The 14972-nt window shown below is 48.6% G+C and overlaps 2 pseudogenes across 1 annotated transcript in view, besides 2 other annotated features; both read right to left on the minus strand.

The window, feature by feature from the left end:
- PDXDC2P-NPIPB14P (PDXDC2P-NPIPB14P readthrough, transcribed pseudogene) overlaps positions 1–14972 on the minus strand; it is an 89652-nt pseudogene that overhangs the window by 73972 nt on the left and 708 nt on the right. The window lies entirely within an intron of this gene.
- PDXDC2P (pyridoxal dependent decarboxylase domain containing 2, pseudogene) overlaps positions 1–14972 on the minus strand; it is a 54947-nt pseudogene that overhangs the window by 39267 nt on the left and 708 nt on the right.
- Positions 1632–2585: an enhancer, noted in NCBI's record as "NANOG-H3K27ac-H3K4me1 hESC enhancer chr16:70085803-70086756 (GRCh37/hg19 assembly coordinates)". NCBI's record gives its function as "activates a minimal SCP1, AML or CMV promoter by ChIP-STARR-seq in naive H9 embryonic stem cells {active_cell/tissue: H9 hESC(naive)}" and the evidence as "EXISTENCE:reporter gene assay evidence [ECO:0000049][PMID:30033119]".
- Positions 14607–14826: an enhancer, noted in NCBI's record as "active region_11048". NCBI's record gives its function as "activates an Ori minimal core promoter by ATAC-STARR-seq in GM12878 lymphoblastoid cells {active_cell/tissue: GM12878}" and the evidence as "EXISTENCE:reporter gene assay evidence [ECO:0000049][PMID:35858748]".

Below are 14972 nucleotides of genomic sequence, written 5' to 3' on the forward strand. Positions count from 1 at the left end.
ATGCCAAAATAGCTGTATGGCTCTCCCTCTCCCTCTCCCTCCCCCTCCCCCTCCCCCTCCCCCTCCCTCTCTCCACGGTCTCCTTCCACGGTCTCCCTCTGATGCCGAGCCGAAGCTGGACTGTACTGCTGCGATCTTGGCTCACTGCAACCTCCCTGCCTGATTCTCCTGCCTCAGCCTGCCGAGTGCCTGCGATTGCAGGCGCGCGTCGCCACGCCTGACTGGTTTTCGTTTTTTTTTGGTGGAGACGGGGTTTTGCTGTGTTGGCCGGGCTGGTCTCCAGCTCCTAACCGCGAGTGATCCGCCAGCCTCGGCCTCTCGAGGTGCCGGGATTGCAGACGGAGTCTCGTTCACTCAGTGCTCAATGGTGCCAAGGCTGGAGTGCAGTGGCGTGATCTCGGCTCGCTACAACCACCTCCCAGCCGCCTGCCTTGGCCTCCCAAAGAGCCGAGATTGCAGCCTCTGCCCGGCCGCCACCCCGTCTGGGAAGTGAGGAGCATCTCTGCCTGGCCGCCCATCGTCTGGGATGTGAGGAGCCCCTCTGCCTGGCTGCCCAGTCTGGAAAGTGAGGAGCGTCTCTGCCCGGCCGCCATCCCATCTAGGAAGCGAGGAGCGCCTCTTCCCCGCCGCCATCCCATCTAGGAAGTGAGGAGCGTCTCTGCCCGGCCGCCCATCGTCTGAGAGGTGGGGAGCACCTCTGCCCCGCCGCCCTGTCTGGGATGTGAGGAGCGCCTCTGCCCGGCCGCCCCGTCTGAGAAGTGAGGAAACCCTCTGCCTGGCAACCGCCCCGTCTGAGAAGTGAGGAGCCCCTCCGTCCAGCAGCCACCCCGTCTGGGAAGTGAGGAGCGTCTCCGCCCAGCAGCCACCCCGTCCGGGAGGGAGGTGGGGGGGGTCAGCCCCCCGCCCGGCCAGCCGCCCCGTCCGGGAGGTGAGGGGCTCCTCTACCCGGCCGCCCCTACTGGGAAGTGAGGAGCCCCTCTGCCCGGCCAGTCGCCCCGTCCAGGAGGGAGGTGGGGGGGTCAGCCCCCCGCCCGGCCAGCCGCCCAGTCCGGGAGGGGGGAGGGGGGGTCAGCCCCCTGCCGGGCCAGCCGCCCCGTCCGGGAGGGAGGTGGGGGGATCAGCCCCCCGCCCGGCCAGCCGCCCCGTCCGGGAGGTGAGGGGCGCCTCTGCCCGGCCGCCCCTACTGGGAAGTGAGGAGCCCCTCTGCCCGGCCAGCCGCCCCGTCCGGGAGGGAGGTGGGGGGGTCAGCCCCCCGCCCGGCCGGCCGCCCCGTCCGGGAGGTGAGGGGCGCCTCTGCCCGGCCGCCCCTACTGGGAAGTGAGGACCCCTCTGCCCAGCCAGCCGCCCCGTCCGGGAGGGAGGTGGGGGGATCAGCCCCCCGCCCGGCCAGCCGCCCAGTCCGGGAGGGAGGTGGGGGGTCAGCCCCCCGCCCGGCCAGCTGCCCTGTCCGGGAGGGAGGTGGGGGGATCAGCCCCCCGCCTGGCCAGCCGCCCCGTCCGGGAGGTGAGGGGCGCCTCTGCCCGGCCGCCCCTACTGGGAGGTGAGGAGCCCCTCTGCCCGGCCAGCCGCCCCGTCCGGGAGGGAGGTGGGGGGGTCAGCCCCCCGCCTGGCCAGCCGCCCCGTCCGGGAGGTGAGGGGCGCCTCTGCCCGGCCGCCCCTACTGGGAGGTGAGGAGCCCCTCTGCCCGGCCAGTCGCCCCGTCCAGGAGGGAGGTGGGGGGGTCAGCCCCCCGCCCAGCCAGCCGCCCCGTCCGGGAGGGAGGTGGGGGGATCAGCCCCCCGCCTGGCCAGCCGCCCCGTCCGGGAGGTGAGGGGCGCCTCTGCCCGGCCGCCCCTACTGGGAAGTGAGGAGCCCCTCTGCCCGGCCAGCCGCCCCGTCCGGGAGGGAGGCGGGGGGGGGGGTCGGCCAGCCACCCCGTCCGGGAGGGAGGTGGGGGGGGTCAGCCCCCCGCCCGGCCAGCCGCCCTATCCAGGAGGTGAGGGGCGCCTCTGCCCGGCCGCCCCTACTGGGAAGTGAGCCCCTCTGCCTGGCCAGCCGCCCCGTCCGGGAGGGTGGTGGGGGGGTCAGCCCCCCGCCCGGCCAGCCGCCCCATCCGGGAGGTGAGGGGCGCTTCTGCCCGGCCGCCCCTACTGGGAAGTGAGGAGCCCCTCTGCCCGGCCACGACCCCGTCTGGGAGGTGTGCCCAGCGGCTCATTGGGGATGGGCCATGATGACAATGGCGGTTTTGTGGAATAGAAAGGCGGGAAGGGTGGGGAAAAAATTGAGAAATCGGATGGTTGCCGGGTCTGTGTGGATAGAAGTAGACATGGGAGACTTTTCATTTTGTTCTGTACTAAGAAAAATTCTTCTGCCTTGGGATCCTGTTGATCTGTGACCTTATCCCCAACCCTGTGCTCTCTGAAACATGTGCTGTGTCCACTCAGGGTTAAATGGATTAAGGGCGGTGCAAGATGTGCTTTGTTAAACAGATGCTTGAAGGCAGCGTGCTCGTTAAGAGTCATCACCACTCCCTAATCGCAAGTACCCAGGGACACAAACACTGCGGAAGGCCGCAGGGTCCTCTGCCTAGGAAAACCAGAGACCTTTGTTCACTTGTTTATCTGCTGACCTTCCCTCCACTATTGTCCTATGACCCTGCCAAATCCCCTTCTGCGAGAAACACCCAAGAATGATCAATTAAAAAAAAAAAAAAAATAGCTGTATGATCAACATTAATAAACAACACCAGGGCAACAGCCAGACACAAACCTAAATGAAGAATTAAATTGTATAAAGATGTATAAAGATGTCTATTAGTTAGTACATAGGAAACTGTTTGATAATGTTGGCAGAAAAAAAAAACAGGCCAGGCGCAGTGGCTCACACCTGTAATCCCAGCACTTTGGGAGGCCAAGGTTGGCGGATCACCTGAGGCCAGGTGCTTGAGACCAGCCTGGCCAACATAGCAAAACCCCGTCTCTACTAAAAATACAGAAATTAGCCAGGCGTGGTGGGGGGTGCCTGTAATCCCAGCTATTCGGGAGACTGAGGCAGGAGAACTGCTTGAACCTGGGAGGCGGAGGCTGCAGTGAGCAGAGACGGTGCCACTGCACTCCAGCCTAGGCGACAGCAAAATTCCATCTCAAAAAACAAAAACAAAAAAACAAAGGAAAAACAGTATTCTATGTCAAGTTCCTGGGAAGAATGTCAAATAATTTCTGAATCCCTTCGCACTGAGTGCAGGGTCAGACAGAGTAAGTATTCAATCAGATTTATGATCCTTATAATTACTAATACTTACTGGGTTGCTTACTATATTCCAGGCATTGTGCTAATAATTAACGCCTCTACACACATTACTTCCTCACAAGCCCCAAATCATAGTACATTTTAGAGCCAGAACTTAAAACTAAGTAAAATTCTAGGACCAGTGCTCTTAACCACTGGGCAATACTGCTTCTCAATTTTATCAAGTAAGTAAATGAAGCAACTCAACACTTTAAAAAAGCTTGTACTCAAAAATCATATTTAGAACTAAGGTTTAATTTTAAAGATTATCCTTGCTTGATTAATGTTTTCACCTGGGAAGAAACTGACTCTTTACAGGGAAAATTTCTACTTTACAACAGTCTCAACTAGATGGCCGTAAACTCATCATCCAGATCAGGGCATTTTTTTTTTTTTCCCTTTTTCCACCAACTCTTAAACCCAAGCATTTTTAAGAGTGAAAGCATGGCCAGGCATGGTGGCTCACACCTGTAAAACCAGCACTTTGGGAGGCCAAAGCAGGGCAGATCACCCGATGTCAAGAGTTTGAGACCAGCCTGGCCAACATGGTGAAACCCCGTCTCTACTAAAAATACAAATATTAGCTGGGCGTGGCGGTGTGCGCCTGTAGTCCCAGCTACTCAGGAGGCTGAGGCACAAGAATCACTTGAACCTGGGAGGTGGAGATTGCAGTTAGCCAAGAACGCGCCACTGCACTCTAGCCTGGGCAGCAGAGCAAGACTCTGTCTCAAACAAAAATCCCAAAACCAAAAAAGGTGCAACAAAGCATTTACAGAGTGGGTATACCTACATGCACATTTTCTGATAGATACTAATTGCTGAGAATTTAGACACAGTTTTACCTCTCTACAAATTCATAAATTATATTTCAAGTACAGTTAATTCTGTTGTATAAATGAAGTGGGTTCAATATTTTTGCTACAATTTTATCTAACACAGTTGCATGATAGGTATGATTTAATTCTCCTTTCCTAAGAAGAACCATTCAATTGCATGCTCACTGTCACAGAACTGAGACTTTTTTTGAGATGGAGTCTCATTCTGTCTCCCAGGCTGGAGTGCAGTGGCTTGATCTCAGCTCACTGCAACCTCCGCCTCCCGGGTTCAAGTGATTCTGCTGCCTCAGCCTCCTGAGTAGCTGGGATTCCAGGCGCCCGCCATCACACCCAGGTAATTTTTTTGTATTTTTAGTAGAGATGGGGTCTTACCATGTTGGCCGGATCAAACTCCCGCCCTCAGATAATCTGCCTGCCTTGGCATCCCAAAGTGCTGGGATTACAGGCGTGAGCCTCTGCACCCAGCCAGAACTGAGACTTTAATAGTTAGCTCATTTTATAAAACAAGCCCTACTATTCATATCTTCATGAGCATTTTTTACAAACTTTTTTTTTTTTTTTGAGACATGACCTCGCTCTATCGTCCAGGCTGTCACAGTGGCGTGATCATAGCTGGCTGCAGCCTTGAGTTCCCGGGCTCAAGTGATCCTCTAACCTCAGCCCCCTGAGCAGACATGGCTACAGGCACATGCCACCACACTTAGCTAATTTTTAAAAATTTTTTGGAGAGACATGGTCCTACTATGTCACCCAGGCTGATCTCAAACTCCTGGCTTCACGAGCAATTCTCCTGCCTTGGCCTCCCAAAGTGCTGAGATTAGAAATGTGTGCCACAGTGCCTGGCCAAGAATCGTTTTTATGCTAGGTGATTTTTATCACTTTCAGACAGTATGGGATATTAAAATACTCCCTCACTACCAGAAGAAATATTACATATGTAATGTTAAAATTGCTTAAAAGTTCTGACAATTTAAATGTTGGAGGAAAAGTCAAGAATCAAATGCAAAGTAAGATGGTAAAGGAGGTCAAGGAGCAACTCTCAATTTTTCAAAAAAGCTAATGGAAAATTATAAATTGGCAAGGCCGGGTGCGGTGGCTCACACCTGTAATCCCAGCACTTTGGGAGGCCGAGGCAGGTGGATGGAGACCATCCTGGCTAACACAGTAGAAACCCCATCTCTACTAGAAATACAAAAAATTAGCCAGGTGTGGTGGCGGGCGCCTGTAGTCCCAGCTACTAGGGAGGCTGAGGCAGGAGAATGGCATGAACCCGGGAAGCGGAGCTTGCAGTAAGCCGAGATTGTGCCACTGCACTCCAGCCTGGGCGACAGACCAAGACTCCGTCTCAAAAAAAAAAAAAAAAAAAAAAAAAGTTGTTTATCATATCTTCCAAAACCGGTAACTACAATAGAAATAAAAGGTGTCTTTAGAGCCTAAGATTTGGGAATTAATGAACTAGTCACTTTAAAATTTTTTTCATCTTAGGCTGGGAGCAGTGGCTCACACCTGTGATCCCAGCACTTTGGGAGGCCGGGGTGGGCAGATCACGAGGTCAGGAGTTCGAGACCAGCCTGGCCAAGATGGTAAAACCCCATCTCTACTAAAAATACAAAAACTAATCGGGTGCAATGGCGGGCACCTGTAATCCCAGCTACTCAGGAAGCTGAGGCAGGAGAATCGCTTGAACCCAGGAGGTAGAGGTTACAGTGAGCCAAGAATGCACCACTGCACTCCAGCCTAGGTGACAGAGCAAGACTCTGTCTCAGGGGAAAAAAAAAAAATCTCATCTTTTGAAAACACACTAATCAACACTTTTCCTCAGTTAAACCAGTTCACCAAAGTGTGAATTTAAAAAATTATACATTTGGCCGGCAGCGGTGGCTCATGCCTATAATTCCGGCACTTTGGGAGGCAGAGGCGGGCGGATCATGACAGGAGTTTGAGACCAGCCTGTCCAACATGGTGAAATCCCATCTCTACTAAAGATATAAAAAATCACCTGGGCGTGGTGGTGTGCCTATAACCCCAGCTACTCAGGAGGCTGAGGCAGGAGAATCGTTTGAACCTGGGAGGCGGAGGTTGCAGTGAACCGAGATGGCGCCATTGCACTCCAGCCTGGGCGACAGGGTGAGAGTCCGTCTCAGGAAAAAAAAAAAAAAAAAAAAAAATATATATATATATATATATATATATATATGTATATATGCACATACATACACACACACACTCTCTCTCTCTCTCTCTCTCTCTCTCACTTTTATGTGATTTGGGAAAAAAAAAAACCCACACAAACACACACCTCAAATCCCAGAATTTAGAGACATTACAGTTGAGCACAAATCTAAGTTAAAAAAAAAAAAAAAAGGCGGGGGTGCAGGGATGGGATAGGTGGGTAAAGAGGGCTAGAGTGACAGAAAGCAGGGCAGGGATCCACTGCAAAGGGACATAGGGACATTTTCAGGGAGACAGAAATGCTCTGTACCTTTTTTGGGGTGGGTGGGTAGGGGACTTATTTTCTGAGACAGGGTCTCACTCTGTCACCCAGGCCAAGTGCAGCGGCACTATCGTGGCTCCCTGCAGCCTCACCCTCCTGGGCTCAAGCGATCCTCTCACCTCAGCCTCCCAAGTAGCTGGGACTACAGGTGCATGCCAACAAGCCTGGCTAAGTTTTTATTTTTTATAGAGATAGGGGTCTCACTGTGTTGCCCTGGCTGCCCTCAAACTCCTGGGCTCAAGAGATCCTCCTTCCTTGGCCTCCCAAAGTGTTGAAATTACAGGTGTGAGCCACTGCACCAGGTCAATGCTTTGTATCTTGATCATGCTGGTGGTAATATCACTATATACAACTTCCAAAACACAAACTATATAATTAAAATGGGTATATTTGTTGTACGTAAACTGTCCCTCAATTTTTCATAAAGGGGAAGTAAATTGATGTAAAGTAGATTTAAAAGAAAATACTAAGCAAATAATAGTATAGGTGGTACAGTGATGTGGCCAAATTCACAGATGGTACATGAATAACTGACATGAATAACTGCTGTTTAAGAGATACAGAGCTAAGCCTTCAAAGAGAAGACTTTTTTTTTTTTGAGACGCAGTCTTGCTCTGTCGCCTAGGATGGAGTACAGTGGCGTGATCTCGGCTCACTGCAACCTCCGCCTCCCGGGTTCAAGCGATTCTCCTGCCTCAGCCTCCCAATTAGCTGGGACCACAGGCACATGCCACGACACCCGGCTAGTTTTTTGTATTTTTAGTAGAGACGGGGTTTCACCATGTTAGCCATGATGGCCCCGATCTCCTGACCTCATGATCTGCCCGCCTCAGCCTCCCAAAGTGATGAGATTACAGGCATGAGCCACCATACCTGGCCAAGAGAAGGCTTTTAAGAGAAGCAGCCTCTATAACAAAGAAAGTCTAAAATTTATTTTTAAAAGTATATTAATTGAAACATTCATCAGTGCTGGAAGTATATAATACTTTCGTTTCAACAAAGTTTTTTTTTCAGGAGAGGAATGTTCTTATTTGGGGGACTTTTAGGACTTATTTCGGAGGCCTCTTAGGGCTAACTAAAGAGAAACCAGCTGCTCATATTAGAAGACCTTGGAGTTATCAGATGCTAGTTTATACCATATGCATTAGACATATAAAAAATCACCACCTACTTTCGGCTGAGATAAAAAGCAAGAGGTAAAGCTCCAGACAGCTGTTCCTAACTTAACTACTCTTGCCTCCCACAGCTTTCTGAACAAGGTAAATCCTGAATAGTGATCATCATTCAACCTTCATCTCTGCAAAAAGCATTTCTTTTCCTCCCAGGCGAAAACAAACAGTGCCTGCTGTCTAGCACTAGTTAAACAAGTTCCCCAAACACCACACACGTCTATTATAATACATACCACTGAGAAGCCACAGCAAGAACATAATGTTCCTTATGGGCCAAGGATGAAAGAAGAGGACAGGAATCCTCCAAGCTGATACAGTGACTTGTAAACCTGGTTTATCTTATTGGAGTCTCAGTTTCTACATTTGTAAGTATTTTTGCCTGATTCAACAGTATAGTTATTTAATTAAGAACCAGAACTTTTGTCTCCTCCCATCTTCTTTTTTTTTTTGAGATGGAGTCTCACTCTGTTGCAGTGGCACAATCTCCTGAGTAGCTGGGACTACAGGCGTGAGCCACCGCACCTGGCTAATTTTTGTATTTTTAGTAGAGATGGGGTTTCACCACGTTGGCCAGGCTGGTCTTGAACTCCTGACCTCAGGTGATCCACCCACCTCGGCCTCCCAAAGTGCTGGGAGTACAGGCATGAGTCACCATGCTCAGCCGTCTCCTCTCATCTTCTAAGAACTGGATATTGTCATTTGAAAGTCTTATTTTTAACCATCATGGTCTCTACGCTTGAGTGTGTCTGAGAATATGAAGACATACTGTAATTACTGGCTCATTAAGATTAAGCATCATAACCTTCCTAGTTGCAAAGGGTTAGCCAAGTACTGTATAAGGTGTAACTATAAGTATTTAACCTTACAAATTCCTCAAGAAGATAGGCAGAAAATCGGAAAGAAAAGGGCAAAAATAGGCCGGGTGCAGTGGCCCACCTGAGGTACAGAGTTCAAGACCAGCCTGGCCAACATGATGAAACCCTGTCTCTACTAAAAATACAAAAAATTAGCTGGGCGTGGTGGTGGGCGCCTGTAATCCCAGCTACTCAGGAGGCTGACACAGGAGAATTGCTTGAACCCAGAGGCAGAGGTTACAGTGAACCAAGATCGCACCACTGCACTCCAGCCTGGGCAACAAGAGCAAAACTCCATCTCAAAAAAAAAAAAAAAAAAAGAAACAAAAGAAAAGGACAAAAATACCCAACAGTGGAAAGGAGGCAGCAAAGTTAACTGCACAGATCACATCTCAGTCAGAGAGCAGTATGTGAAGGAGGGAAAAAGCCTCTAATCACTTGACTCAGATATATGTTGGAGATGCTAGAGATCCAACTCCGTGTTCCAAAAACCTGTGTTCCCAGAGACCACTACTGCAGTGTCAGTTCACACAGATCTTATAACATGAGTAAACACTTCCAGATAATGAAACTGATGGAAAAATAGCATACTATAGGGAAGCTCTATTTCTAAAAACTTTGCTGTTTACCTGGAATCACACCTTTATTCCGGAACAAAAAGAAAATTGCTAAACAGAAGCAGATACTGTTATAACTCTTCCTTAAGATAAGCTTCTTTATAGGCAGTGTTTAACTAGTTTAACTAGTGCTAGACAGCAGGCACTGTTTGTTTTTGCCTGGGAGGAAAAGAAATGCTTTTAGCAGAGATGAAGGTTGAATGATTATCACCATTCAGGATTTACCTTGTTCAGGGATTGTTAGCGAGCGATCAAATCAGAAAGGTAAAGATGAAATGCTTTTCCTGTTTCTTATCTACCAGCAATAATATGAGGCACACTCGTAAAGGTCTGCATTACATTTACAATTAAACTCTAGAAAAGCATAATTCTGAGCTAAATATTCTGCCTAAAGAATCTCTTCCACATAATCTTTCCTGGTCTCTTGCTCCTTGCACTCACAATTTGTTTCTTAATTCCTATGCTTTTTATCCCTTTCTATACAAGGATTTGTCCAAAAAAAAGTATACTCCCTTACCAGAACGCGACCTCCTGCAGGGGCCACATCTTACTCACCTTGTGTCTCTGTCAGCACTCAGCACTGGGCTTTGACCACAGCTCACCTTCGATTAATAAAAATTATAAATCAAGGCTGGGTGCAGTGGCTTACACCTGTAATCCCAGCACTTTGGGAGGCCAAGGTGGGCAGATTACTTGAGGTCAGGAGTTGGAGACCAGCCTGGCCAACATGGCGAAACCCCGTCTCTATTAAAAATACAAAAATTGGCCGGGCGCGGTGGCTCACGCCTGTAATCCCAGAACTTTGGGAGGCTGAGGCGGAGGTCAGGAGATCGAGACCATCCTGGCTAACACTTGGTGAAACCACATCTCTACTAAAAATACAAAAAATTAGCTGGGCGTGGTGGTGGGCGCCTGTAGTCCCAGCTGAGGCAGAAGAATGGCATGAACCTGGGAGGTGGAGGTTGCAGTGAGCCGAGACTGTGCCACTGCACTGCAGCCTAGGCCACAGGGCGAGACTCCACCTCAAAAAAATAAAAAATAAAAAAAACAAAAATTAGCCGGGCGTGGCACAAAAATAATCCCAACTACTCGGGAAGCTGAGGCAGGAGAATTGCTTGAACCCAGGGGGCAGAGGTTGCAGTGGGGCAGAGGTCGCACAGAGGTGAGATCGCAGCACTGCACTCCAGCCTGGGTGACAGAGCAAGAGTCCGTCTCAAAAAAAAATTATAAAACAAAACAGGTTTCTGCTTTAGGTGACAACAGATGAAATCAAGCTCAAGCAACTTCTACCTATAACTCATATAATCCTAGATATAGTGGAGCAAAGACGGAAATGGGACCATCAATAGCTCTGCCACTGACTTCCCCTGCAATCTTGAATAAATCAAGAATGAACAAAGCCATAAATATCTAGGATCAGGAACTTTGTACTATGGCCGAGTCCCATCAGTTTTCCCTGACAGCCAGTATTAGATAATCATTTACAGCCATAGCCACCATGCATCTGTATGCAAAACCCTCACATTATAACATTGGAATTGGCTTTATATGAAAGCTACAATTACAGCCTCTCATCTCCTCTCACTCTTTCAACCTTGCCTAACAGGGGTTCTTTTCTCATGCTTTTTAAGGAAGGAGCAGGAATAGAAATTCTCGGAGTCCTTATCAGTAAGTAATGATCAGGAATGTTCCATTGATGCTGCTATAAACCTCTAGCATAACAGCAAGGTGACAAAGAATTTTCTAAAATCAGGCCCAAATAGCAGGAAAGAAACACTTAGCTCGGGATGAGTTCAAGAACCAAAAATGGGCTAAGTTGTGCTGATTTAGGTCAGAAACAGGGTCAAAGTTGCCTCTTTCAGAGATGAGAATTAGATATAACAAGTAATTGGCCGGGCACAGTAGCTCACGCCTGTAACCCCAGCACTTTGGGAGGCCGAGGCAGGTGGATCACTTGAGGTCAGGAGCTTGAGACCAGCCTGGTCAATATGGTGAAATCCCATCCCTACTAAAAATACAAAAATTAGCCAGGTGTGGTGGTGGGCGCCTGTAATCCCAGCTACTTGAAAGGCTGAGGCAGGAGAATCGCTTGAACCCGGAAAGCAGAGGTTGCAGTGAGCCGAGACTGTGCCACTGCACTCTAGCCTGGGCGACAGAGGGAGACTCCATCTCAAAAAAAAAAAAACGAATTGCCAGCTCTTAGCACTGTCCAGTGGAACCTTCTTTGCAATGGAAATGTTCCACATCTGTGCTGCCCAGTGTAGCAGACATCAGCCACATGTGGCTGCTGAGCACTTGAAATGTGGCTAGCATGACTGAGGAAACGAATTTTAAATTGTGTTTAATTTTAATCTCAATGTAAACTGCCAAATATGGCTAGTGGTGACCAAACCGGAACTGTAGCTCTAGATTCCCTAAATTAGGGACTTTCAACGACAGGCAATTCCCTCTACCCCTTGGGGGACAACTGCCCCCATCTTGAGACATTTCCTATTGTTACAACTGGGGGTAGGGAGTGCGACTAGCATCTACTGAGCAGAGGTCAGGGACACCGCTAAGCATGCTGCCATGCACAGGCCAGCCCCCATAACAGCAAATTATCTGACCCAAAATATCAGTAGTGCTGACGCTGAGAAACTGCTTAAAGTTTGCTCAAGGACAGAATTAAAGTAAATGCAAACAAACTGCAGTATACCTTGCCTAAACATAATACCCAGGAAGAATGAGATCTTTTAACCAACAGAAAAAGGTCTGGGCTATTCTACAAGTTTAGAGTAGCAGGTTTTGGCCTGGCACGGTGGCTCACGCTTATAATCCCAGCACTTTGGGAGGCTAAGGCAAGAGGATGGCTTGAGCCCAGGAGGTTGGGACCAGCCTGGGCAATATAGTGAGACCTTGTCTCGAGAAAAAAAAAATTGTTTTAATTAGCTCAGTGTGGGGGTGAGTGCCTGTAGTCCCAGCTACTCAGGAGGCTGAGGCGCGAGGCTCACTTGAGCCCTGGAGACGGACGTTGCAGTGAGCCGAGATTGTAGCACGGCTCTCCAGCCTGGGTGACAGAGAGAGATCCTGTCTCAAAAATAATAATAATATAACAGGTTTTTACTGGAAGGTGTGTTTAATAACTTAAAATCTTCATCATTATAGTGATTACTTCCTGTGGCATTTTCTTTATTGAATATTAACATAAGTACACACTGTGAGACTCTGCTAGAGGGCCTTGTTCCTTATGCCTTGGACATACAGTGGGGGACAGGGGCAAAGCCCCTACTCCTACTCTCCTAAGTTTGAATTTCCTTTGCCTCCTCAATTAACCCATCTGATTTATTGGGACATCACTGATCTCAGATACAAGAAAACTGATACTGTTGTGGAAGAAAAGCAAATCGTGACGAGAAAATGGCTCTGTTATCACAGGTCTGCACGTTTACATAACAGAAAAAGCAAGGGACAGAATTATATTTGGACCAAATCCAAATCATTGAGTGATTCTACTAAATGATGATCGCATACTACATTTTGTTTTTGTTTTTTCACATACATTTTAAAGTGAGAGATATTATTTTAAATTTTAGAGGGTGAGCATCAAATAACATTGTGGTTTCTGTAATCAGTATAAATTACGCAAGAATCAGTTTAAATGGGATCATTCACAACTGCTCACATAGCTCTTGAGTTTATATTAACAATGTAGAATTTAACGCAGGATAGTCTATTCCTCAAAGAAACAGGAATAATGAACACAATTAAATGTTTCACTTTGACCCAGACTATTTTTCAGAACATAAAGTCATCAACATTCATATTACAGCAATGCTTTTTCTTTTCTGCCCAATTAGCACCAATATAAATCGTTCATTCCATCTAAGGCCCTGTATTACTTCAGGGAATATAAATCTAAGTCCCGGCCAGATGCAGTGGCTTACGCCTGTAATCCCAGCACTGTGGGAGGCTGAGGCTGAAGGATCACAAGGTCAGGCGTTTGAGACCATCCTGACCAACATGGTGAAACCCCATCTCTACTGGGAATACAAAAATTAGTCGGGTGTGGTGTCACACGCCTATAGTCACAGCTGCTCGGGAGGCTGAGGCAGGAGAATCACTTGAATCCGGGAGGCGGAGGTTGCAGTGATCCGAGATCGCCTCACTGCACTCCAGCCTGGGCAAGAGACCGAGACTCCCTCTCAAAAAAAAAAAAAAAGTAAGTCCCATAGTTCTGAAAAACTTACACTCAGAATTTTCATATTGACCTAAGGCAGAAACCTCCAGCCCACATGTTCTGAATTCTTAAAAGATCACTACAATTTTTGTGAATGCTCCAATATTAAACACACTGGAATTTCAGTCCCTCTTGAGATCTTCATTGAGAGAGTTTAAGATCTTTTATCATCAATTAACACTTAGGGAGCAACCACTGTAACCTACTGATCAAATGCCAGAAAAGTAATATTTAAAGCAGGATTCTGACCCACCCTGCAGATTTTCCTATAAAGGCTAATTATTCCTGGAGGAAAGATCACCCCAGTTCTTCAGGATTCCAATTACAATCACATGAAGCCCACCCACCTTCTTAGGAAATTGATAACACCACTTTGCATCATTTTGTACTCAACTGCTGGTGTTATAAACATGATCTTGACCAGGATTTCTCAGCCCCAACACTGCTGACATTTTGGGCCAGAGAATTCTCCAGCGTGGGGGGCTGTCCTGTGCAACGTAGGATGTTTAGAGGCGTCCCTGGCCTCTACCCACTAGGTACCGGCAGCACCTCCCTGCCCCCATTGTGACAATCAAAAATATGTCCAGAGATAGCCAAATGTCCCCTGGGGAAATAAATTGCCCCCTGCTTTAAGAACCACTCATCTGGACAAACTCAAAGTACCAAAAGGTAGACACCCTGCTAATCAGACGACCGGGAAGACTTTATTCCCAGCCAGGAAAATACGTAACATTCACCCCAGAGATGGCACAAGAAAACCATATTATCTTTTTCTTGTCTTCCACCCAATTTATGCTAAGCAACCCAGGAGCAGGCTATACCACTGTGAGCACATGAAGACATCTGGCCCAACCTTTACAATTATTGCCTTCAACTCTCCAGTGACAAGTGAACAAAATCTACAGCAGCTGCTGCCTTGAAAAAAGACAAAATATATTATTCCTACCAGCTCAAAATTAAAATGTAGCCGTCTTAAAACACGAGCATTGCTCCTGAATGCCACATGCATGAAAAACCGGGTATGCACTGGATTGGACAAGCAGACTCCCAAGCTGGAACAGAGAGAAGGGCTTTGAGGGAGGGCAGAATGTCAGGTACCGAAAGCAGGAATCCGTGAAGAAACCCAAACCGGTTTCCATTTACAAGCCCTAACACTGGGACAATGAGAATCCGTTTCACATGGTAGAGCAGTCAGCCAGGTACACCACGCTGCTGTTCCCCCAAGGGGAAACCAGAGGTAGGCTCTGTTACCAGTGGATTTCGAGTTGACTCGGGGATCCCTCCTCGCCACCGGAATGGGGGAACCAGGAAGTTGTGGAGCAGCTGCGATCCCCGAAACTCAATTCGCAATCTACGCAACACCCACCCCTTTCTGGAACTCAGAGGTTCTCGCCCAGTGATCGCAGGCTCAGCATCAGAATCACCTGCGTGGGGCGGAGTGGGAGGGGGGCGGTGGCTGTTAAACACGCAGTTCCCGGTCCCGCCCCCAGAGGTTCTGACCCCGGGACTGAATCTC

This window comes from Homo sapiens, chromosome 16 (assembly GCF_000001405.40).
Source record: "Homo sapiens chromosome 16, GRCh38.p14 Primary Assembly".
NCBI classification, from domain to species: Eukaryota; Metazoa; Chordata; class Mammalia; order Primates; family Hominidae; genus Homo; species Homo sapiens.